Here is a 21,157-nt window from a genome sequence, read left to right on the forward strand (position 1 = left end):
TGTGCCTTTTGTCAAATAGCTTAACTTTTATCTAGGAGATAATTAGGGAATTAGAAGGATTTTGTTTGCATTCTGGAAGGATTACTCTAGGTGTACTATGAAGCCAGGTGGGTTGGAAGGAGTTAAGACCAGTAACATGAAGAGCAGTTAGTAGGCTAACAATAGTCCTGGTGAGATGATGAGGGCTGCCCTAGTGTCTGTGGGGATAATGGGGAGTGGATAAATATTTAAGAGGTAGACTCCCCAAGAACTGATTAACTGGTTTGGGGAGGAAATGGGGGCAGTGGGAATGAAGACTCACAGCTTTGTTCTTGAAAGCACACTTGAATGAAGTTGTGAAAATGCTTATAAGTAGCACTTTGGTACAGTTTGGGATGAAATTTGGAAATTATTTTGTGCCTAACTGATGGCTAGCTAAAAGAACAAATGATCACAGCAGTGGTGTCCAAACTTTGATCTTACACTGCATCAGTAAAAAATATTTAAGCACATATCCTCGCTTTCTCCCTATATACACATATATAGTTTAATAAAAACATAGCGTATATGTGTGTATGTATAACATAAACCTGAGAATTATATATTAGTAAAGCTTAGGTTTTTTTTTCATGTTTTAAAAAATATATAAATAGAAAGTCTAGTTACTCCTGTACTTCAATATATCATTTAACATACCCTACCTCTGGAGGCAGCTCTTCTAGGGAAAGAGAAAACAGAGCATTATGACAAAGAAGAGGGCTGAGGTTTCACCTTTTTTGCTGATGTCTTTCCCATCCTTCCCAGGATAAAGTAGCTGCTTAGGATTCTAGGCTTCTCTGGCATTTGTCCACACTTCAGTCTACACTTTTCTACAATACAGTGTTATGCTTACTACACAGTGCTGTGACTTATTTCTCTGCTCTTTCAAGGGAACAGAAACTACGGAACTGTATCTTATCTGTCTATTCTTAGCATGTAGCCCTGGGCATAACACATAGAGGCATTCAGCAAAGGTTTTCGATTGAATGAAAGAAGTATATTGTTTCAAAATAGAAGAGAGACATTTAAAAGACAGGCCAGGATATGAGAATCAATTCTAAAATAGCTGGAAAGCAAGAATGGAGACAAGGCAAATTTACACATAACAGAAGGAGGACACAAGATCAGAGCTGTGTAAAAGCAAAGGGCAAAGCCAATGCTAAAGGCTTGGATGTTTGATGACAAACCTGATTAAGGTACATCCTCCTTTTACCTTAGAAAAAATTCTATTTTTGAAACAGAGTCTCGCCTTGTCACCCAGGCGGGAGTATAGTGGTGCGATCTTGGCTTACTACAACCTCTGCCTCCTGGCAGGTTCAAGCAATTCTTGTGCCTCTGCCTCCCGAGTAAGCTGGGACTACAGGAATGCACCACCATGCCTGGCTAACTTTTGTATTTTTAGTAGGGATGGGGTTTTGCCATGTTGGCCAGGCTGGTCTTGAACTCCTGGCCCTAAGCAATTCGCTCACCTCAACCTCTCAAAGTGCTGGGATTACAGGCTTGAGCCACTGCGCCCAGCTGAAAAAATTCATTTCTTAGCCCACCTATCCATTCTCCTATCAGTAGAATATTTTAGTTTATGGAGAAAAACTGTGTTATAGACCTGAAACATCTGGCAGAGCTTTGGAAGGAGTGACTGCCCTACTTTTATTCTTTAAATGGTGGTTGTGCCAGCAAAAGATGGGACTAACGCTGGTAAAATAATAGAGGAAGTATCAGCTACTATCCCTGACCCTCCCCCAAAGAAGGGGTTTGAAAACCAGTATCCAGAATTTAGGAAAAGAATCTGGAAGGAGTTTCTATAAACTACCATATAGACAGGATGGAATTCAGAAGCAGCAATAACATCTGGCTTTACCCACCGGATCAGAACTGTATGAAAGGCTGTCTAACTCCAGAGACTGGTAACTTTTAGCTTAAGAATAGCACAGATAGGGCACCAAAACTGACCAGGGTCAGTTGTAGATAAACTACCTTAAAGGAGCAGAGGCTCAGTAACTAGGAAGATGGGCAAGAAGAAAGGGGTACGAAGGTTGGCAGATGGGCTGCACCTATTAAACTTTGTGTGCCTATCAAACTACCTACATGTTTGTATTCACTCAATAAATCACACAGCTCACCTTAAAACACCTTATGAAATCATACTCTAAAGTGGGTCTGAAACTTCCTCCTTTCACTTAAGAACATGTTATGGCCAGGCGCAGTGGCTCACGCCTGTAATCCCAGCACTTTGGGAGGCTGAGGCAGGTGGATCACCTGAGGTCAGGAGTTTGAGACCAGCCTGGCCAGCCTGGCCAACATGGTGAAACCTTGTCTCTAGTAAAAATACAAAAATTAGCCGGGTGTGGTGGTGGGTGCCTGTAATACCAGCTACTTGGGAGGCTGAGGCAGGAGAACTGCTGAACCCGGGAGGCAGAGGTTGCAGTGAGCCGAGATCGTGCCATTACACTCCAGCCTGGGCAACAAAAGTGAAACTGTCTTAAAAAAAAAGAGAACATGTTATGAAGATCAGTTAAGTTTATAAAGATCTGAGAGAGGACTTTGGACAGTTTCAGTTTGTATAAATAAATACCAACCATTAGGATGTTACAGGAGCAGGGGCCAAATAGTGAGTCAGTGAATGGGTCCTGAGGTTTCTTTTCATGTCTGTGTACCGGAGACCATGGGATATCATGAGTAGCATGACTATAAGCTAGGTGAGCAGACTGACTGTGTATTTTTCACTTTTCTAAGCACCTGACGTAGTCCTGGTACTTAGTAGGTATTCAAGAAATATACGTTGACAGATTGAATGACATACCGTCAGATATATCCAGAGCCTTTCCAGTTCCTCTTAAACGAACTGGTAATATCTTTAAGCAAAAACATATAGGCTTTAATATTTTTCCAGGAAGAGAAAATCAATGAACTCAATATTTTTATCAAGAATGTAGAGGGTCAGGCTGGGTACGGTGGCTCACACCTGTAATCCTAGAACTTTGGGAGGCCAAGGCAGGTGGATCTCTTGAGCTCAGGAGTTCGAGACCAGCCTGGGCAACCTGGTGAAACCCTGTATCTACAAAAAATAAAAAAATTAGCCAGGCATAGTGGTTTGTGCCTGTAGTTCCTCCTACTTGGGGGATTGAGGCGGGATGACTGCTTGAGCCCATGAGGTGGAGGATGCAGTGAGCCAAGATGGTGCCACTGTACTCTCTAGCCTGGGTGATAAAGTGAGACCTTGTATCAAAAAAAAAAAAGAACGTAGGGGTAGGGGAAAAGTCCTCAGGAAAACTAGGAATTAATAATGATTTTTTTTAAACCTCATAAGATCAGCAGATAATTAGAGACCTTATCTTTTTGGAGAAAAAGTAAATTAAAGCAAGTAAGTGAAAACAGAAATGAGAAAGATATATTACAAATAGCGGTAATTAAAAAAAGTTTGTAGATATAAATTGAAGGCTAGTATTTTTAAAATAATGAAATGAAGCAATTCTGTAGCAAGAAGGATGCTTTCTTAAAAGGATAAAAACCATCTAATCAAGCAAGTAGTAAAATTATACTTTATCCCCGCTAAAACTGAGTTTCAAACAAGCTGCTTATTTCTGCCATTATTTTTAAAGCTTTGTTTGGGAAGTTAATGACCAATTATGTAAGGCGTAACATAGAAATAAGGTCAAAGGAAGAGACACTGTATCATATTTTGTAAACATGATTAAATATTTAGAAAACCCAAGGAAATTAAAAATTCTTGGAATTAAAGGTAACTTAATGAATACCATTCAAACCAAAAATACCCAGGAAAAATAATAAGGGGAAATGCTAAATATAATAAATGTTCTTTACAAATTAATTGACAGATTGTTCCAGTTACATTTGGGGGCATCCCCCCCCACTCAAACTTATAAAGTTCATTTGGAAAAATAAACAGGCAAAATTGGCCAAAAAAAAAGGACTGAAGAAACCCTGAAGAACCAACTTTATCATCTGTGAAAACACTATATAAAGCAGGGTTTCTCTGTCTCAGCACTGCTGACTTTTTGGACTGGATACTTACTTATTGGCTGTGGGGAAGTGTCCTATGCATTGCAGGATGTTAACAATATCTCTATCCTCTACCCACTAGATGCCTGTAGCACCATCCCAATTAGGACAATTAAAAAAAAATTGTCTCCAGGCATTGCTAAATGCTCCCTAGGGGGGCAAAAACTGCCCCCTGCTGAGAATCACTGATTATAAAGTGACAATCCTTAAAACTGTGGCAGGGGTATAGGAAGTCAGTGAGATACAATACATATTAAAGAAGGAGGTCCCTGGCCGGGTGCGGTGGCTCAAGCCTGTAATCCCAGCACTTTGGGAGGCCAAGGTGGGCGGATCATGAAGTCAGGAGATCAAGACCATCTTGGCTAACACGGTGAAACCCTGTCTCTACTAAAAATACAAAAAAGAAATTAGCTGGGTGTGGTGGTGGGCGCCTGTAGTCCCAGCTACTTGGGAGGCTGAGGCAGGAGAATGGCGTGAACCTTGCAGTGAGCCGAGATGGCAGCTACTGCATTCCAGCCTGGGTGACAGAGCAAGACTCTGTGTCAAAAAAAAAAAAAAAAAAAAAAGGAAGTCCCATATGTAAACAGGGAAAAAGTAGAATCATTCAGTAAACCTAGATTAACAAATAAATAATTTGGGTGGGGAAATAAATTTGAGTATTTCATAAGATATTAAAGATACTTCAGTTTGATATTAGAGTTAAATATAATTTTGAAAGTCATAAAAAAAGCTAGAAGAAAATATGATTATTACTAGATTATATGAACTTTCTAAGGTTAGAAACAATAGAAACCAGAATGAGAAAGGACAGATGGTAGAATTTAAAACTAATACATGTCAATGAATAAAAAGTACAAGGCAGATTGTTTGCAGGAGATACGAAAAATGACATGGACAAGAGGAAATACAAATATTAAAGAATGTATGAAAAAAATCTCCACAGTAATCAAAGAATGGAAATTATTGCAACAAATAGCTTAGTAGTTGTAATAATAGAAATGAAAAAAAAAAGTATCCAAAATTGGAAACCATGGGATGAAATTTGCTTTGTCATACACTTGATGGCAGCATAATTGTCATACACTTCTCATGGCAGCCTTTCAGAAAGCAACTTAAAATCACATATCAACAGTTTAAAAATGGACACCTTTTAACCTATGTATAGTAGTCCCTCCCTTATCCAAAGGTGATATGTTCCAGGATCCCCAGTGGATACCTGAAACTATAGGTAGTACTAAACCCTATACATACATATACACATACATACATACGTATGAGCTTAATTTATAAATTAGGCACAGTAAGATTAAAAATAGCTAAAAGTTACATGAATGTGGTCTTTCTCTCCCAAAATATCTCATGTTTTTGGACCAAAGCTGACCATGGATAACTGAAACCGTGGAAAGTGAAACCGTGGAGATGGGAGCACTACTGTAATTCCTCCTCTGGTTATTTGTCTCAAGAAGATATTTTCAAATACAGAAAAATAGTATAAATGAAAATGTGAATCAGAAAATCATGTGGAAAGCAAAAAAGCTGGAAACAATGTGTCCAATCACAGGGTAATGGTTAAAACAAATTGTCCAACTTTATGGAATATTATGCAGCCATTATAAATAATTAAGATTATTTAATAAAATACAAAAATATAAGATATGATAAGTGAATAACCTTAATATGCACATCATACAATTACAATTATATACAATGTGCACAGCAAAAAGATTAGAAGTAAATACAAAAATGGTTGCTATAAAGCCCAAACAATAAAATGTGGGAAAATATATTAAAAGTATCAGGACATAACATTGTTATATGCAGTGGGATTTAAAACTATATAAAAAATATAGATGAGGAAAAGGCTAGAAGAAACTATAGCACATACTAAAGAGACTATAGAGAGATCATAATTTCTATAAGCATTCAAAAGAAGGATCATCAGAGCATATACTCAGGCAGAGAAAAGATGAGAGTAGGAAAGAGATATTGAATACATGAAAATAAAGGAAATAAAGAACGGAAAAAGATAGAGGAACCTACAGAAAGGGAGATTCAGGTGGTAGATTCAGTCCTAAAAAGGAAGGAAAAGGTACTTCCTTCCTCTGATGCAGAAGGGGAAAAATAGGAGAGGATGAAGAGAATAAAATTTTGATGTGCCAGAGGTGTGGGCCCAAAGGCACAGCAGGCACACTATGATTTTTAGCCATGTGAAACTGTTTACAAAAATGATTATAAATATAGTTGAGTTTGGCTATGCCTCTGCTGTATTTAGTTTATTAAAATGCAATTAAAAAGGCTTTTATAAATATAAAAACACAAGTATTAAATAATATCTAATGGCTGCCTAAGATGAAAATAGAAAATGAAATGTATATTAGACTTCACCTTAAGTCTTAATGAGAAAAATTCTAAAGGGCTTCAGGTGCTAAATATTGATCAAACAAGTATTTTCTGCTGGCATATTACACATGTAATTATTCAGTCATTTAATGAAATGAGTGTTTTGTTTTATCCAGAAATGCAATAAAAATTCAGAAAGAAATACTTACCAAAGAAAGGCACACATGGTGGATTAATAGACCTGAGTTTTGCCAAATATTTCTTATAGTGATCTTCACTCAATTCATGAGCTTCTTCTAAAATTTTCTTCTGGCGACTTGGTATTTGCTATAAGGAAAAAAAATAGGCGTAAGTTTACAAAAGGAATCAAAGGTCTTGTCAAAAAAAATACTAGGCTAACAGAAACGCCCAAATACAACAGTATCAATTTGATTTTATGACTGTAACATTGCTTCAAATATTGCTTCAAATAAATTATCTTCATAGACCTCAGTATAAACTTAAAGTATGTGTGTGTGTGAGAGAGATCTAGTTTATCATGTCATTCCTTACACAATTATGTGAACATTTAACTGTACATTATCTTACAAATTAAGTGCCGAAAGTTTTTTCTTCTAGCTTAGGCTGGGACCTGTGAATACATTTTAATAGGAATGCTTAAATTTTAAAAAGCAACCAATTCATTACAAAACTTAGATAATTCAGTCTTTTAATCTACTACTGAAAAGACAAATGAGACATTTAAAAATTAAAGATAATAATTGTTAAAAATCTAATTTTTCTAATAGGGAATGAAAGTTCATTTTAAAAACACATGTAGAAACCTACCTCAAATGTGTGGTCTAGTCTGTAAACAGGTGATGAATTCATAGCACTGACAACCTCAAGGACACCATTAAAGTTGTTCAACTCTTGAAAGACTTGTAGAATCTCAATAATTCGACTCACCACAGCTACTCTTTCTTCTAAATTTTCAGTTTCTACAATACATCTGGGAATAAAAAAAAAGTGAACTAAAGGTTTTAGAGTTTTTCCAATAAAGTTATAGCTTAAAGAATTTAGTAAATAAAATAATGTAGAGAGTAGGGGGGTGGCGATAGTATAACTACTATAGAGAAGACACATTCAGGGTGACTGATAGAAGGAAGGCAGTGCCTCCAGTCAGGCATACTGCTCTTTCCCGTCTTCTAGACTGGTACAGTCAAACAATCATTTTCCTACTATATTTGGTGCATCCTCTATTAGCATCAGAATTAACTGGTGAGGCCACTATCTTGTGGAATGTATGGAGGTCTTTGTGAGGTCTTTGTGATGTGGGTGTATTCTAGTAGAATTCAAGAATTCTGTTGTGTTCTATTCTTCATCTAATTGCAAGATTTTAGTGATTAATGCTCAATTTCTTTCTTTCATATATTATTGGCTACATACATTTCTAGGAACAGCTCTGTTCCTATGTTTCCTACATTTCTACGAACAGCATTAAATGTAATGGCAAAAACTGCAATTACTTTTGCACCAACCTAATATATAATTGCATTGAGATTCTGGACTTGTGGTATGATAGTATGAGGAGCTTCACTGAGTGAAACTGGTAAAAATTATTAAAACACACATACACACAAACACACACATGCACACGCACACACACACATTTAAAGTCTCTAGTAATGGCCCTGAGAGCAAATGGCAAAAGAAACATCTATTCAGGAAAATCTACAAAAATTTGGTAAGAGAGGGGAGAGAGTCTGTGGTATTTGAACCAAGACTGGTCCCTCCCTTCTTTCTCCCAGCTCAGTGAGGGTGAACTGAGCATCTACTCCAGATTCCTGCAGTCAAGAACACCTAGCTCCCGGTGAGGTGCAGGAGCAGGACTTCAGTTTTCTCATCCTGTCCCTGCTGCCTGTTGCTGAGGCCAAGTCCCAGTTGAGTGCAGCTGAGAAGTAGGAATACCCTTTTTTGCCCAACTTCCACTTATGGAATGGAGACGCTACCTTGGGTGTGATGTTTTGAGCATACTGAGAAAAGAGCCCTTCCTCTGGTTCCTGAGGGCGTGGTTCCATGCCAGAAGAGGCGGGTAAGAAGACCTCAGGCTGCAGTAGCATCCGTCTGCCACTCTACCTGCTCAACCAAGCACTTAGCTCCTAGGGCAGAAGTGTCACTCAGAGAAAAGCTTGCCATTGTTGCCCAGCCCCAGAGCCCTGTTTCAAACAGATAGCTCCTAATTTCTTGTCATTTGCAACAAAGTATAAAGTAGTTTAAATTTAATGGTGCCCTTAGGAACAGTGGAAATTGTGGTGAAAGGCAATGGGGAAGAGATTTGTGGATCTAATGAAGATACACCCTAGACTGTAGGCAGAGTAGTTTGCAGGAGACAACTAGGAAATAAGACGGCTGAGAGGAGCCCTCCTGGGGTCAGAACAAGTATCAAACAGAAATCTCAGAAACCATTCCTTCAAAGGAGCCACAATTTGATTGCATTATTTTGTATAGCATTTATGCCACCAGAAAATTGTTGAAAACATCAGAGCAATCAGCTGGCAAATTGTGGAGTTTCATAGCTGGGTGTGTGTGGTCAGGTAAGGAGTGGATGAGTCTTTCCAGTACCACTGCCATGCAATAAGAAGCCCTGGAAAGGGGGCTGGGGAAGGAGGAGCAGTACTCAGAGTTGCTACACTATATTATCTGAAATGTCAGGTTTCCAGCAAAAACAGATGAGGTATGCAAACCAATAGGAAAGTATGACTCTTACAAGGGGTGGGGGTGGGGCGGAGGGGGTGGAAGGAACAGAAACTGCCTGTGAGAGCAACCAAATGTCAGATTTAACAACAGTAACAAAAAAGATTTCTAAGTAGCCATTATGAATACGGTCACGGAATTAAAGGAAAGCATGAAAAAGAAGGAAAGGAAGGTATTGATGACAATGTGCATCGAAGAGAGGATATCATTAAAGAGATAGAAACTATAAAAAGGAACCAAAGGGAAATTCTGGAATTAAAAAGTACAATAACTGAAATAAAAAACTTACTGGATAAGCTCAATAGTATATTTGAACTGAAAAAAAAAATATTAACTTGAAGATAGAGCCATTGTTCAAAAACGAAGGTAAAATAAAGATTTTCCCAGATAAACAAAAACTGAGAGAATTTGTTGCTAGCCCACCCTCCAGAAGAAATACTAAAGGAAGTTCTTCAGGCTGAAAAGCAAGTGATCCCAGATGGTAATTCGAATCCACACAAAGACCATCAGTAAAGGTAATTGTGTAATTATTAAAGACATTTTGTAAATGCGTATTTTTTTCTCATTTCTTCTCATAACTGACTTAAACAACTGTATAAAATAATATAAACATTGTTGAATTTATTGACATAGAAATGTAATATATTTGTAATATGTTGCCAATAATACACAAAGAAGGTGGGTGAGAGCAAAGCTTTAATGGGCTAAGAGGATGATGACAAATGGTAAAGTAATAACTGTTAACAATGTATTGTTTGATTTGCATCATTAATAAGATGTAATATGTATTACAGTACCACAAAAAAAAGGGAGAAAGGGAATAGAGCTACATAGGAGTAATATTTCATATGTCACTGGTATTAAGCTACTATAAGTCTGAAGCTGATTCTGATAAGATGTGTAGGGTAAACTGTAAGGCAACCAGGCAACCACTAAAAGGACCTCAAAAAAAGTTAATGAAAAAAATTAATGCTACATTAGAAAAACATTCAATATTTTCTAATGACAAATATTATCATTTTCATCAACACTCAATGCAAAAGAAAGGAGGAATAGAGGAAAAAGACATGAGACATATAGAAATAAAATTGCATTGGTCAGGAGCGATGGCTCACGCCTGTAATCCCAGCACTTTGGGAGGCCAAGAGGGGTGGATCACTTGAGGTCAGGAGTTCAAGACCAGCCTGGCCAATGTGATGAAACCCCATCTCTACTAAAAATACTAAAATTAGCTGGGTGTGGTGGTGTGCGTCTGTAGTTGCAGCTACTCAGGAGGCTGAGGCCTGAGAATTGCTTGAACCCGGAAGGTGGAGGTTGCAGTGAGCTGAGATCACACCACTGCACTCCAGCCTGGGCAACAGAGCCAGACTCTGTCTCAAAAAAAAAAAAAAAGAAAAAGAAAGAAAGAAAATTAAAATTAGGTGAGTGTGATATCACACACTTGTAATCCTGGTTACTCTGGAGGCTGAGGTGGGAGGATCGCTTGAGCCTGGGAGGTGGAGGTTTCAGTGGGCCGATGTGCCACTGCACTCCAGCCTATGTGACAGAGCAAAACTCCGTCTCAAAAAAAACAAACAAAAAAATTGCATTGAAATTCATAACATAGCTGACAGCTATAAAATATAAGAATGCTAGGAATACTTACTTCTCAAACCACAGAGTGAGGTTGGTGGTATGTCGAATCATTTTCAGAAGATTAGGAGAGTTAATTTCTTTGTCTTCTTTTGTCCACACACTTCCAACTAATTCTGATGGCTGTACAGCTCTAAAATCATCAATACATAATTCTACATGACACTTTTTTCTCTAATATAGACATTGTTTTATTAAGTAAAGGAGACAAATAAAAACTAAACTCTCATATGAACTTTCCTCTTATACCAACAGAAAGGTCTGTGAAAACAAGGTATAACAAAAAAGTGTAATTATGCATATTTCCTTATGGATTTTTTTTAAACTTTTTTTTTTTTTTTTGAGATGGAGTTCCACTCTTGTTGTGCAGGCTGGAGTACAATGGCATGATCTTGGCTCACTGCAACCTCCGCCTCCCAGGTTCAAGTGATTCTCCTGCCTGAGCCTCTTGGGTAGCTGGGATTACAGGCGCCCGTCATCATGCCTGGCTAATTTTTTGTGTTTTTAGTAGAGACAAGGTTTCACCATGTTGGCCAGGCTGGTCTCGAACTCCTGACCTCGGATGATCCACCCGCCTTGGCCTCCCAAAATGCTGGGATTACAGGAGTGAGCCACAATGCCCAGCCTTTAAAAACTGTTTTTAAAAACTATTTTTATGGAAATACCTGTGTACTTTTAGCGTTCCTTTATAGTAGCATTTTGCTTTGGGCAAGGTTGAGACTCCTCCATAATATCTTTCCCAGCACTTATAAACATTATTAATAAATTAGGGTGACAAAGTAGACATTTAAGTAATGATATCTGTTATAATCAGTTCAAAGAGGGTACAGTAATCAATGCATTCACACATCTTTTTTTTTTCTTTTGGTCTAAAGGAGGAGAGGAAAAAAACCTACCACAAAAGGGTCCTAGGAAATAAAATAGATTCTAACACTGTAATTTTCAGAAATACGATTTTCAGTGGGAGATCTATAAATTTATCTCATTTTCTCATTTAGTTATTAAAAAGTGAATAATTTAAGATTCTAAGTAGTCTCCATTTAAAATCAGAAGGACATTTTTGAGATAATTACATCAATGTAGTATGATTAAAAAAGACTATAATGGCTGTAAGTTCACAATAAAGCAGTAGCTAACATTTATTGAGCCCTTACTTTGTGCTAGGTAATGTACATATATTGACTTGCAAACCTCAAAACAGCCCCAGGAGTAGGTACTATCAGTAGCCCCATTTTACTCTTGAGGAAAATAAGGGGCAGAAGGATAAAGTCACACAAGGAGGTTAAAGTTGCCCAGGGCCAGCAATTGGTAAAGCCAGGATTTGAACCTAGCCTTACCAACTAGGGGTGAACACAGAAAGACAGAAGGTGTAAATTCAGCTAGAGGGACCAGGGGAGTAAAAGAACAGGAACTGCCTGCCTGGCCTTATTACTAGACACTTCATGTAATATTTCAGTTAAGTCTTATGAAAACCCTATAAGGCAGAAATCAGTATTTCATTTTAAAAGTTAACTCTTTTGAAATGACTTTTCAACTTGAATGTTAAATTACATACCGGTATAGATCTGATTCAAGTAAAGTGAGTTGTCGAGCAATTTCTATTGGGTGTAAGGTGAGCAGGTCAAAAGTCTCTATGTGCCCAGGTCTGCTTATATGCCACTCAACTGTGGGAGGTGAACTCTGAAATGTAATATTATGACCTGGTCCATTGTCTCTTGCAATTTTTTTCCTTTGGATTATTTTAGTGATGGATTCAACCCATTTTTTCATTGCTTTACCTGCAATACATTATATTTTAAATAACATTTAAATATTCTTTATTTAATATTTTATATTTTAAAAATGGTTTAAAGTCACACGGATGACACCTGAATGTATCTTTGCTATAAAAAGTTCAAATGATCAAAATGAAAAATGCAAGTTCTCCTTTTCCATTTCCCGGTCCCCAATCCTAATCTTATTCTTCTTCATTTGGGTAACCACTGTTAATAGCCTGGTATGTATTCTTCCAGATCCTTTCCAAATAAAATTAGAAAGTACTTAATTTGTAGAGACTGTCCATCCCATTGTTCTGATCTTCAGTTTAATGTATTATTTTATAATCCTCCAAGAAAAGGTATATCTTATGTAAATCACAAGATTTATAAGGATAGATTATACACAATATTCATCTAATTAACACTGCATTTTATAAACCAATAAATATCAGTGCCAGAGGACTGATTCCTTAGTGTGAGTTTTGATGTGGCTCTGTTTTATATTGTACATGAAAGTACTATTATTTAACTATTTTCTGATTATCATTTAGAGCATACAAAGGAAATAAAAATAAGTTTGTCTAAGATATCCTTAGAGCCATACACTCACGTAATCTTTAAAACTAGAAGGAAAACCTTAGAGATCGACAAACCTAGCTCCTTATGTTATTGATAAGAAAACTGAAGTCTAAAGAATCTAAGTGATTTTGCCCAAAGTCACGTATCTGATTAGTGGCAGTGTTAGACATAGAGTCTCAATTTAATCCACTCTGCTTCCTCTCTGATTCTATTTGCCTGTGGCCCACTCGACCTCCATCAGTGGTGTTATAATGGCACAACGTAATTCCCAAATGCCCTCATACTTTGGGATATATATGAAGACTTGGCTTAATCAACTCTAAAATAATCAGTAAGTTGAGTCACTAAATGAAAATACATTGGATCAACAGGGTGACTTGAGCCATTTGCAGGTCTAAATGCTATTTGATGAAAATTTTTAACTTTTTGAAATGGTTATGCTGGTACTATTATAAACATCTTACATTACTGAGCCCCAATGACATCAATTGATAGTCACCGTGTTGGTACTTTTATTACATATAAAACTAGGCACCTAAAAAAAAAAACATACCTCTTACTGTTCCAATAAATTCTTCCATTCGTTGCAAAAGATATGCATCTCTTTCAAAATCATAGAAGTGGTGCTCTACCCAGTGCCGACATACATTTAATACTCTATGGCATTAACACAGAATTGAATTACATGGGAATCAAACATAAATGTTTATCACAATGCACAGTACAATACAAATGAAAATGCAGTAACTCTTACCAAATTAATCTTATCAGTGTGCTTAACACTTCCAAAATTCTATGTTAAGGCTTATACTATAATTTCTGATAACTGCTCTAATTAGTAAATTTAATTTACTAATTTTATTGTCACCCCTCTCCTTGTTTGGGAAAGGTCCTTATATACTTCAACATTGAAACGAAAGTTTGATAAAGACTTATTTACTTCATTTATTTAATGCTTACCGCAGTTGCACAGGCTGTATATATTCTTTTCTAAATCTTTTCAGTTCTGCACTCAAGGGTTGATCTCCATTCTCTATAGCTATGCGATCAGCTTCTGTTGGCTCAGGCTCTGGAATTTCAAACCTAACATAAAATAGAACAAATTAATGAAAAGACTAATTATATCGAGTTATACAAATAGAAAACCACAAACGTTTTCACCAGTCAGCAAAATCAAGAGAATACTGTAAAAAATTACTGAAGATATGCATATCAGTGTAAACAAGTGAGACTCCTATAGTATTAAAGGCTAATAAAATTATTTTAAAATTTTTAAAAGAAATTAGTACTTGCCAATATAGATAAAACTAACTACAAACAAAATAAAGAATACATGCAAATTCTAAAAATAAATGTGACTATAAAGTTACGGGACTGATATTCATTTTTGGTCTGTGGAATTACTCTAAATCAGGTGACATAATCACTGTTAAGGGTAATTCCAGAAAAACTGACTGCTCTTTGTTTGGGTACATGAAATATTTTCCTTCCATCACAGTATTTGTTCACTGACAAGTTCCATTTTACTCAACATGAAGTATGTTTGAAAACTTACTTAGAACATCTAACTCATCAGAATTTGAATTTCTTGACTCTATAAATTTTATATAGGTCTTTAGTTCTGTAAATTTGAAATTTCAAATACTGAGTTTTCACATACAAAAAAGAATATTTTTGTATTGAAATAATAAAAGCTAACATTATTATAAAATAAATGTTCATCTAAGAGATTTTATTTATTGAAAAAGTGCTTGTGAAGTATATTTTAAAGCTCATCTAACATTTCTGAAAAGGATCTTAGCTCAATCTCTTTTTTAACAAAAAATAATGAATTTAAATATTTTTTAAATGGACAGACCTTTCTATTATAAGACTCAGTAGTTCTTGAGGTTTGCAAAAGGATCTGTATGTTGTAAGAAATGTCCGAACAAAATTGGGATCTAAGAAGAAAAAGGAAAAATATCTTATTAAACTCTATGATTCAAAATGATTAAAACTGTTATGTACATTTTCAAAATAGATCAAATAGTCAAGTTTAAAAGTTCCAAAATGTTTTGCCAAGTAGAAGGCTTTGGACTTGGTAATGCACTGCTAGCTTAGTGCCTCCTAAATTAGTGGTGATATTAAAACTTTACATCAACTTATTTCTTGCCCTCTGCACACTGACAAGATGATCTTAAACTCATCGGCCACAGGAATGAGCAAGAAAGAAAAGCAAAGGTAAAGCAGGGAACCAGGCTCCCCTCCCACCTGCTACCAGGATCTCAAAGTATCACCAGTTGGTTTATCCCCCTTATAAAGAGAAAGGCCACAGCAATAACCCATTACTTTTCCTTACATCAAGATGAGTTTATCTAGGATGACTTATCTAGCTTTCTTTAAATCATGTTAACAGAGCATGCAACTGGAAATTGGAACTTATAAAGTAGTAGCTAAAGTTAAATACAGTTTTTAAATTATTTGCTAAAAATCTCACAACTACTTAAAGATGCTTACAAATACTTATAAGCTATTAAAACTATTAAATGTGATAGAATATGTTGGTTTGGTCCTATTCCAACCTTTAATTGCCTTTATTTCAAGTAGTCACAATGAGAGGTCAATCATAAATATAGGAGTCTCCAATCCCTTCCATGAAAGGACCTACTTTTCATTCACATCTCCATGAAGTAAAACAAGAGGCTGAGTGTGATCACTCCCCTAGGCCTGACCTACTCCCGTCTCTCCTTAACAGTATTATCCTAAGTTGTGGAGAAAGGCTGCTCTCACCAGCACAAGAGACTTGGGCTGTTGTCTTCTGCATAAAGAGGGGGAAAGACATCTCCCATAATAGGGGGGAGAAATCACTCACTTCTATAACTCAAATTTTATCAAGGCCCACATTTAATTGTAAATCTTTTTTTTTTTTTTTTTTTTTTTTAAGGAGGGGAAAGTTCAGTAACTTGAGTCTTTTATTGGGAGCATTCTTTTCCTATTTGTATTAGGGACTGGTAGACTCCAATAGTAAATTCATAGAGGGTAGCAGATGCCTTTATTTCTGTTAGGCTACATAATGTGGGTCAAAGTTTTATAAGAAGCACAATGTCTTTTATTAGCATAGGATTTAGCAAAAGCAGAATGTATTTGTTTGGAAAATTTTCATTTAGGCTGATTCTCACTAAGACCCATCCTAGGTTTAGCCTTAAAATAACATGTTTATAATAGCTTTTTCCCCAAAAAGCAAATTCATGGATTTATCACAAAACAGAAATATACTTCCAATCTATTGATATGTGGTCATCGAGATAATAACTGATTTAAATATCAGACAACCTTGAATTCAAAATACTATTTTAAGTTAAAGATTTACAGAATAAAAATACATTGGTTTTAAATGTCCCCTTCTCCGTTAGCTTTATACCTTCTGAGGCTAGAGTGGGTTACTGATAAAAGTAATTTAAATACATATAATCCTTTAATAATTTCCTCTCTGTTGGTATTTTATTGTTTGTCTTCAGTTACAGAGTTCCTCAAAAGTTAAAGACTAATGTCTCATCCAGAAGAAAAGATATTAAAACAGAAGGCTGTACAAGATTTTAATACAGAGATTTTTATCGGTTTCATCACAATCTTCCCTTTCAAGAATCTTCTTCCTGTTCTGCAAATCTATTTGTAAGGTGAGGCTACTCAAAACAGCATGTTTAGGAAGCAAAAGCAGTGGCCACTAGAGAGATGCTGAGTTGTCACTGCTGGAGAGAGCCCATACCCGCAGTACAGAGTACTCCAAGCATCCTTGACCTGTGTTCCAAATTTAGGGTGCCCTCTCCCTTTTTAAAGGAAAAGTTTATTTCAGTCTAAAAATCTAAAATCAACACTCACCTCCATATTTTCTCAAATGCCATGAAAATCAGGCTAAAAAGTTGAGGGACATCAAGAGGAATTTTAAGTTGAAAAACAGAATAAAAGCCAAGTTCTAAGTGACTTAAAGTATGTTTTAAGAAAACTGTGGCTATGTTTAAAGGCAAGCTATTTCTAAACAGACTTTTCATCTTCTTAAGCCAAAACTTCTGGCCATTTCAGTTCTTTAGTAATTGATTATAATGCTGGGAAAGCCATGATGTGTCTCAGTGCCACAGTCAAATGGGATCACACCAATTCTTGGTCTATTATGTAACATTCTCAAAGAACTTTGACATAACTTATTTCATATGATTTATGTGAGGTGAGCAGGGCTGGAAGAGATGTAACTAGACTTATCTAAGGTCATACTGTAGAGTGGCAGAGATGGACCCAGAACCTAGATCATGTGATTCCTGATTTAGTGCTCTTTTCTATCATATCGTATAACCTCCCTGGATTAAAGAAACCCTTAAAGTTTCCACAGCTGTGAGATCTAAATATAAAGAATTAAACCTTGAGTTATATAACCACTATAGAAATTTACATGAATGATTAACTCAGAATGTACCTGTACTGCTAATCTTGGTTAAAGGCACCAGAAAGTCACTGAAAAATTAGCAGTCTAATTGTGATTCTGTAACTCTTGATCAGCCTTATTCTAGATTTTAGGAATTAACAGCTGTACCTTCCTGTATGCTGTACAGGGTTTCTGCAGCTGGCAGTGAAATAAACACTCCCATAATCATGACTGTTGTATTAGGTTCTAGAGTTGTTTTTAGCTTGACTGGAATTAAGAGTAGTCTTGCCAAAAAGACAAAAGCAGCAGAAACTAAAAACAAACCAAGAAAATCTGGCAAAAATTTAAGTACTTTCAAAAAATATCTTAAAGGCTGCATATAGTCCCAGGCTTGTATTAATTTATATTCTGTTTTTAGTCTAAAGCAATGAAAAATTGCTAATGAATGAAAAACATACTAAGACGACAAAGTACTTATATTTGAAATTTTACACAGAAAAGCATAAAAATTCCAGACATTATTTTTATTTCTATTGGATTGGTTTCTCCATTTCAATGACTGTAACACACACCATGTCGCTAACCACTGGAGACGTTTATCTTACTGATGATGTAAAGAGCTAAGATAATATAAACAAATGCCCATCAATAAGGACAGGTTATATAATTCTGTAAGAAAACAGAATACCTAGTTCCATTGATTAGGCAATGGTAAAAGCTAAGTTTTATACTGCCGTTGTTAGTTGTGGAGCAGCAGTTATCTACCCATATTCTAAAACCATGTTGCAGAGAGAGATGAAAGGTAAACACATAAAAATACAAAAGCCAGTCTGGGTTTGGCTTTATAACATAAGCAAAAACATATAATCCTAGAAAAAAATTAAAAATAGCCCATTTTTATATTCTCCTTTCTGTTTATCACTTACTTGTGGAGATAATTCCACAAAATTCTTTCTCAAACATGATCTCCTGATGAATTTCAATATGGTCAACAACCAAAACTTTTTCTACAGTTTTTCCCCCTCATCATTAGAGATAACATTACTTTGCTACTTGACTCTCAAATCCCTACGCTAAGGTTTCCACCATGTTCACTAGTTGCTCTGCTTCCCCCAATCAAAACAGCTAGGTTATTTTCAAACAGAAATAACCAGGTTATTTCAAACAGAAGCTGTAGTTATTTTTTTCTGCTGACCTTCTGTCTCTGTTTTCCTCACTATAAAACCATTATTTGATATTTTACTGCACAATACTTCAAAATTTTAGGAACTCAGAGTATACCTACATTAGTGTTCAGAATATAGATTGGAAGTGATAATCCAATCCTTTTTCCTTATGTGCCTATTTTGATTGACATGACATTTTATTTGACAAGGTCAATGAAATTTGTATTTATTACATAAAAAAGTTATTTATGTAAAGACCACCCCACCCCCAACCACCACAGTAAAACACTGTTATAATCAGGATGTCTGTTCATGTGATAATTCTCCCTTTAATGCAGCCATTTAAAAAGCTACAAGAAACAATAAGCTCCTCAACAAGGATTTATAAACAATCAGTCTTGAATTCCTTAAAAAAGGAAACAGACGCTATGCTGACGCACAAACACTTTTTTAAAAAATCAGAGAGTATAAAAATAGAACAGCGCTGCCCTATAGATGAAAAATTGTTCAAAAGATTTAAATAAGTTAAAACACCGAAACTGAGCTTATATAGGACACAAACTCAAAATAAATCTAATTCAGGTTTTTGAGGCTTTTCCCTATGAAGGTATAAAATAGCAGTAAATACTTTAAAGAAAACGATCTTCTGGCTTAAGTTTTTTCAATACCATCTTCTGGAAAAGAGAAATTCCCAGGCAAGGGAAACACCTTTTCCCTCACTTCAATATGCAAAGCTTTTATTTCCCATAAAATGTCAATTCTGAATTATTATCCTTACTTCAGGGTCATCTCATTTTTCTAAAATAGACTACCAAACTGGACACAGCACCACCTACCATTTATCTACTCGTGTTGTTTTAGGTCTCATTAACTTGTACTTTGTTGCCTACAACAACTCTGTAACAGACGTGAAATTCCTACTCTCAACTTTTTATTTGTGCATATTGCTTTGTGCTTTCTTACTTAGGATAAGGAAATAGTCTCTTCATACCATTGCCAGATTTAGAATGATCCATCCAATTGGATAATTTTTCCCCTAGTTTTTGGGACAAACCCCAAAGTTCTGATATAGTCAGCAAATTATGATACATCCAGAAACACCGAATCTGAGAGACAAGCTATAAATTAGATTCCACCTAAGACCCTGTTGCAATCTTTTAAGCAAGTTAACCACTTTCTAATTCACCTAAATTTAAATTTTTCTTTCCACAAAGCTTTCCCTTTAGTGAGCAAACTACATCAATAGACTAATAATTGGGTTTTGTAAAAAAATAAAAATAATAATAATGACCAGTATCTATACATAAAAAATCTATGCATTCCAATGGAAGTGTATCTATAGTCAGAGCTTACCTATATCCTATTTCAAGAAAAAAAAATTACTGACAATATCTTCATAGTACGCACGTTTGCCCAGAAATGAACAAGCCATTTATATTATTGGCAGTTCAAACCAAGGAAGTAATTTATTTATTTTTTTTGAGCTCACATCTGTACCAGATCCTTTTACTTAATTATTAACACATATAATTAAAAAATTACAACATATTCTATTCATGAAAACAATCACCTTATATGAGTCAATGTAACATGGTAGAAAATATACTCTATTTAGAGTCAAGAAACCTAATTCTTGACTTGTTCTGGAATTAACTCGTAATAGAACTTCTGGGAAATCATATAATCTTCAGGGGCCTTGGGATTTGTCTACAAAGTGAAGGCTTGGGCATCTCTTCTAGCATTAGAGATCTATAGCTCCATTTTGTACATTACTGTTAAAATATTTGAGGGATAAAGTTGGCTGACACCACAGTGAAGTCTGAATAAAGTAAGGTTAAACCAGTTTCTCTTCTGTTTTTATGACAATGTCTAACCAAACTATAATAATCTAAAAGATGTCTGTAAGTCGTGTCTTATAGTATTCATTAAATTTTCTCATGTATTATATCCAATGTCTTTTATTACAATTCTATATAATAAAATAAAAATGTGTAAGTTAAATGTTAGCTTTGTTTCAGTGTAAGCCACAACCTGTACTGCATGTTCTCCAATAAACATACCTACTAACCAAATCACAAATCCCTTTTCTCTTTGGGGAGGCTGAAGAAAGATGAGAGGAGAAGAGCAGACCAGTAGTTCTTAAAAACAAATGGTAACTTGATCTGTTACCATTGTAGTGAGGCCTTAAAAGTCCATTTCAGTTTTACAAGTTCACAGATGGTCTATTAAAAACCATTCTATGTTGCCAGTAATAACTTCAGTAACAGACCTTACAGAATAGCCCAAATAAGCTAACAGTTAACACTAATGTGTGTGTACTGTAAACCACAACTCACGAAAGCTGCTTGTAGACTCCAGTTTCACCAGTAATATATTTATGACATAAATTAAAATATTCAGTTAAGCTTCAAAAGAAGACAGAAAAGAAAAATATCAAAAAACTTAGCCACAACACTGGCCTTTTATTTCTCAAAAAATTATTGGAAGGAATTTTTTAAAAACATTTTTTTTAA

At 35.6% G+C, this 21,157-nt stretch overlaps 1 protein-coding gene across 10 annotated transcripts in view; it reads right to left on the reverse strand.

Moving 5' to 3' along the window:
- SOS1 (SOS Ras/Rac guanine nucleotide exchange factor 1) overlaps positions 1–21,157 on the reverse strand; it is a 143,320-nt gene that overhangs the window by 18,276 nt on the left and 103,887 nt on the right. For 9 of the 10 annotated variants that reach the window (XM_047445581.1, NM_001382394.1, NM_001382395.1 and 6 more), the window contains 7 exons: positions 14,941–15,022; positions 14,043–14,165; positions 13,636–13,739; positions 12,302–12,524; positions 10,760–10,879; positions 7,207–7,369; positions 6,588–6,705 (listed from right to left, as the gene is read on the reverse strand). In XM_047445581.1, the coding sequence (XP_047301537.1) occupies positions 6,588–6,705; positions 7,207–7,369; positions 10,760–10,879; positions 12,302–12,524; positions 13,636–13,739; positions 14,043–14,165; positions 14,941–15,022 (933 nt within the window). Of the gene's footprint in view, positions 1–6,587; positions 6,706–7,206; positions 7,370–10,759; positions 10,880–12,301; positions 12,525–13,635; positions 13,740–14,042; positions 14,166–14,940; positions 15,025–21,157 lie in introns of those variants that run through there. The other variant, XM_047445586.1, reaches the window with a different exon arrangement.

This window comes from Homo sapiens, chromosome 2, assembly GCF_000001405.40.
Source record: "Homo sapiens chromosome 2, GRCh38.p14 Primary Assembly".
Lineage (NCBI taxonomy): Eukaryota > Metazoa > Chordata > Mammalia > Primates > Hominidae > Homo > Homo sapiens.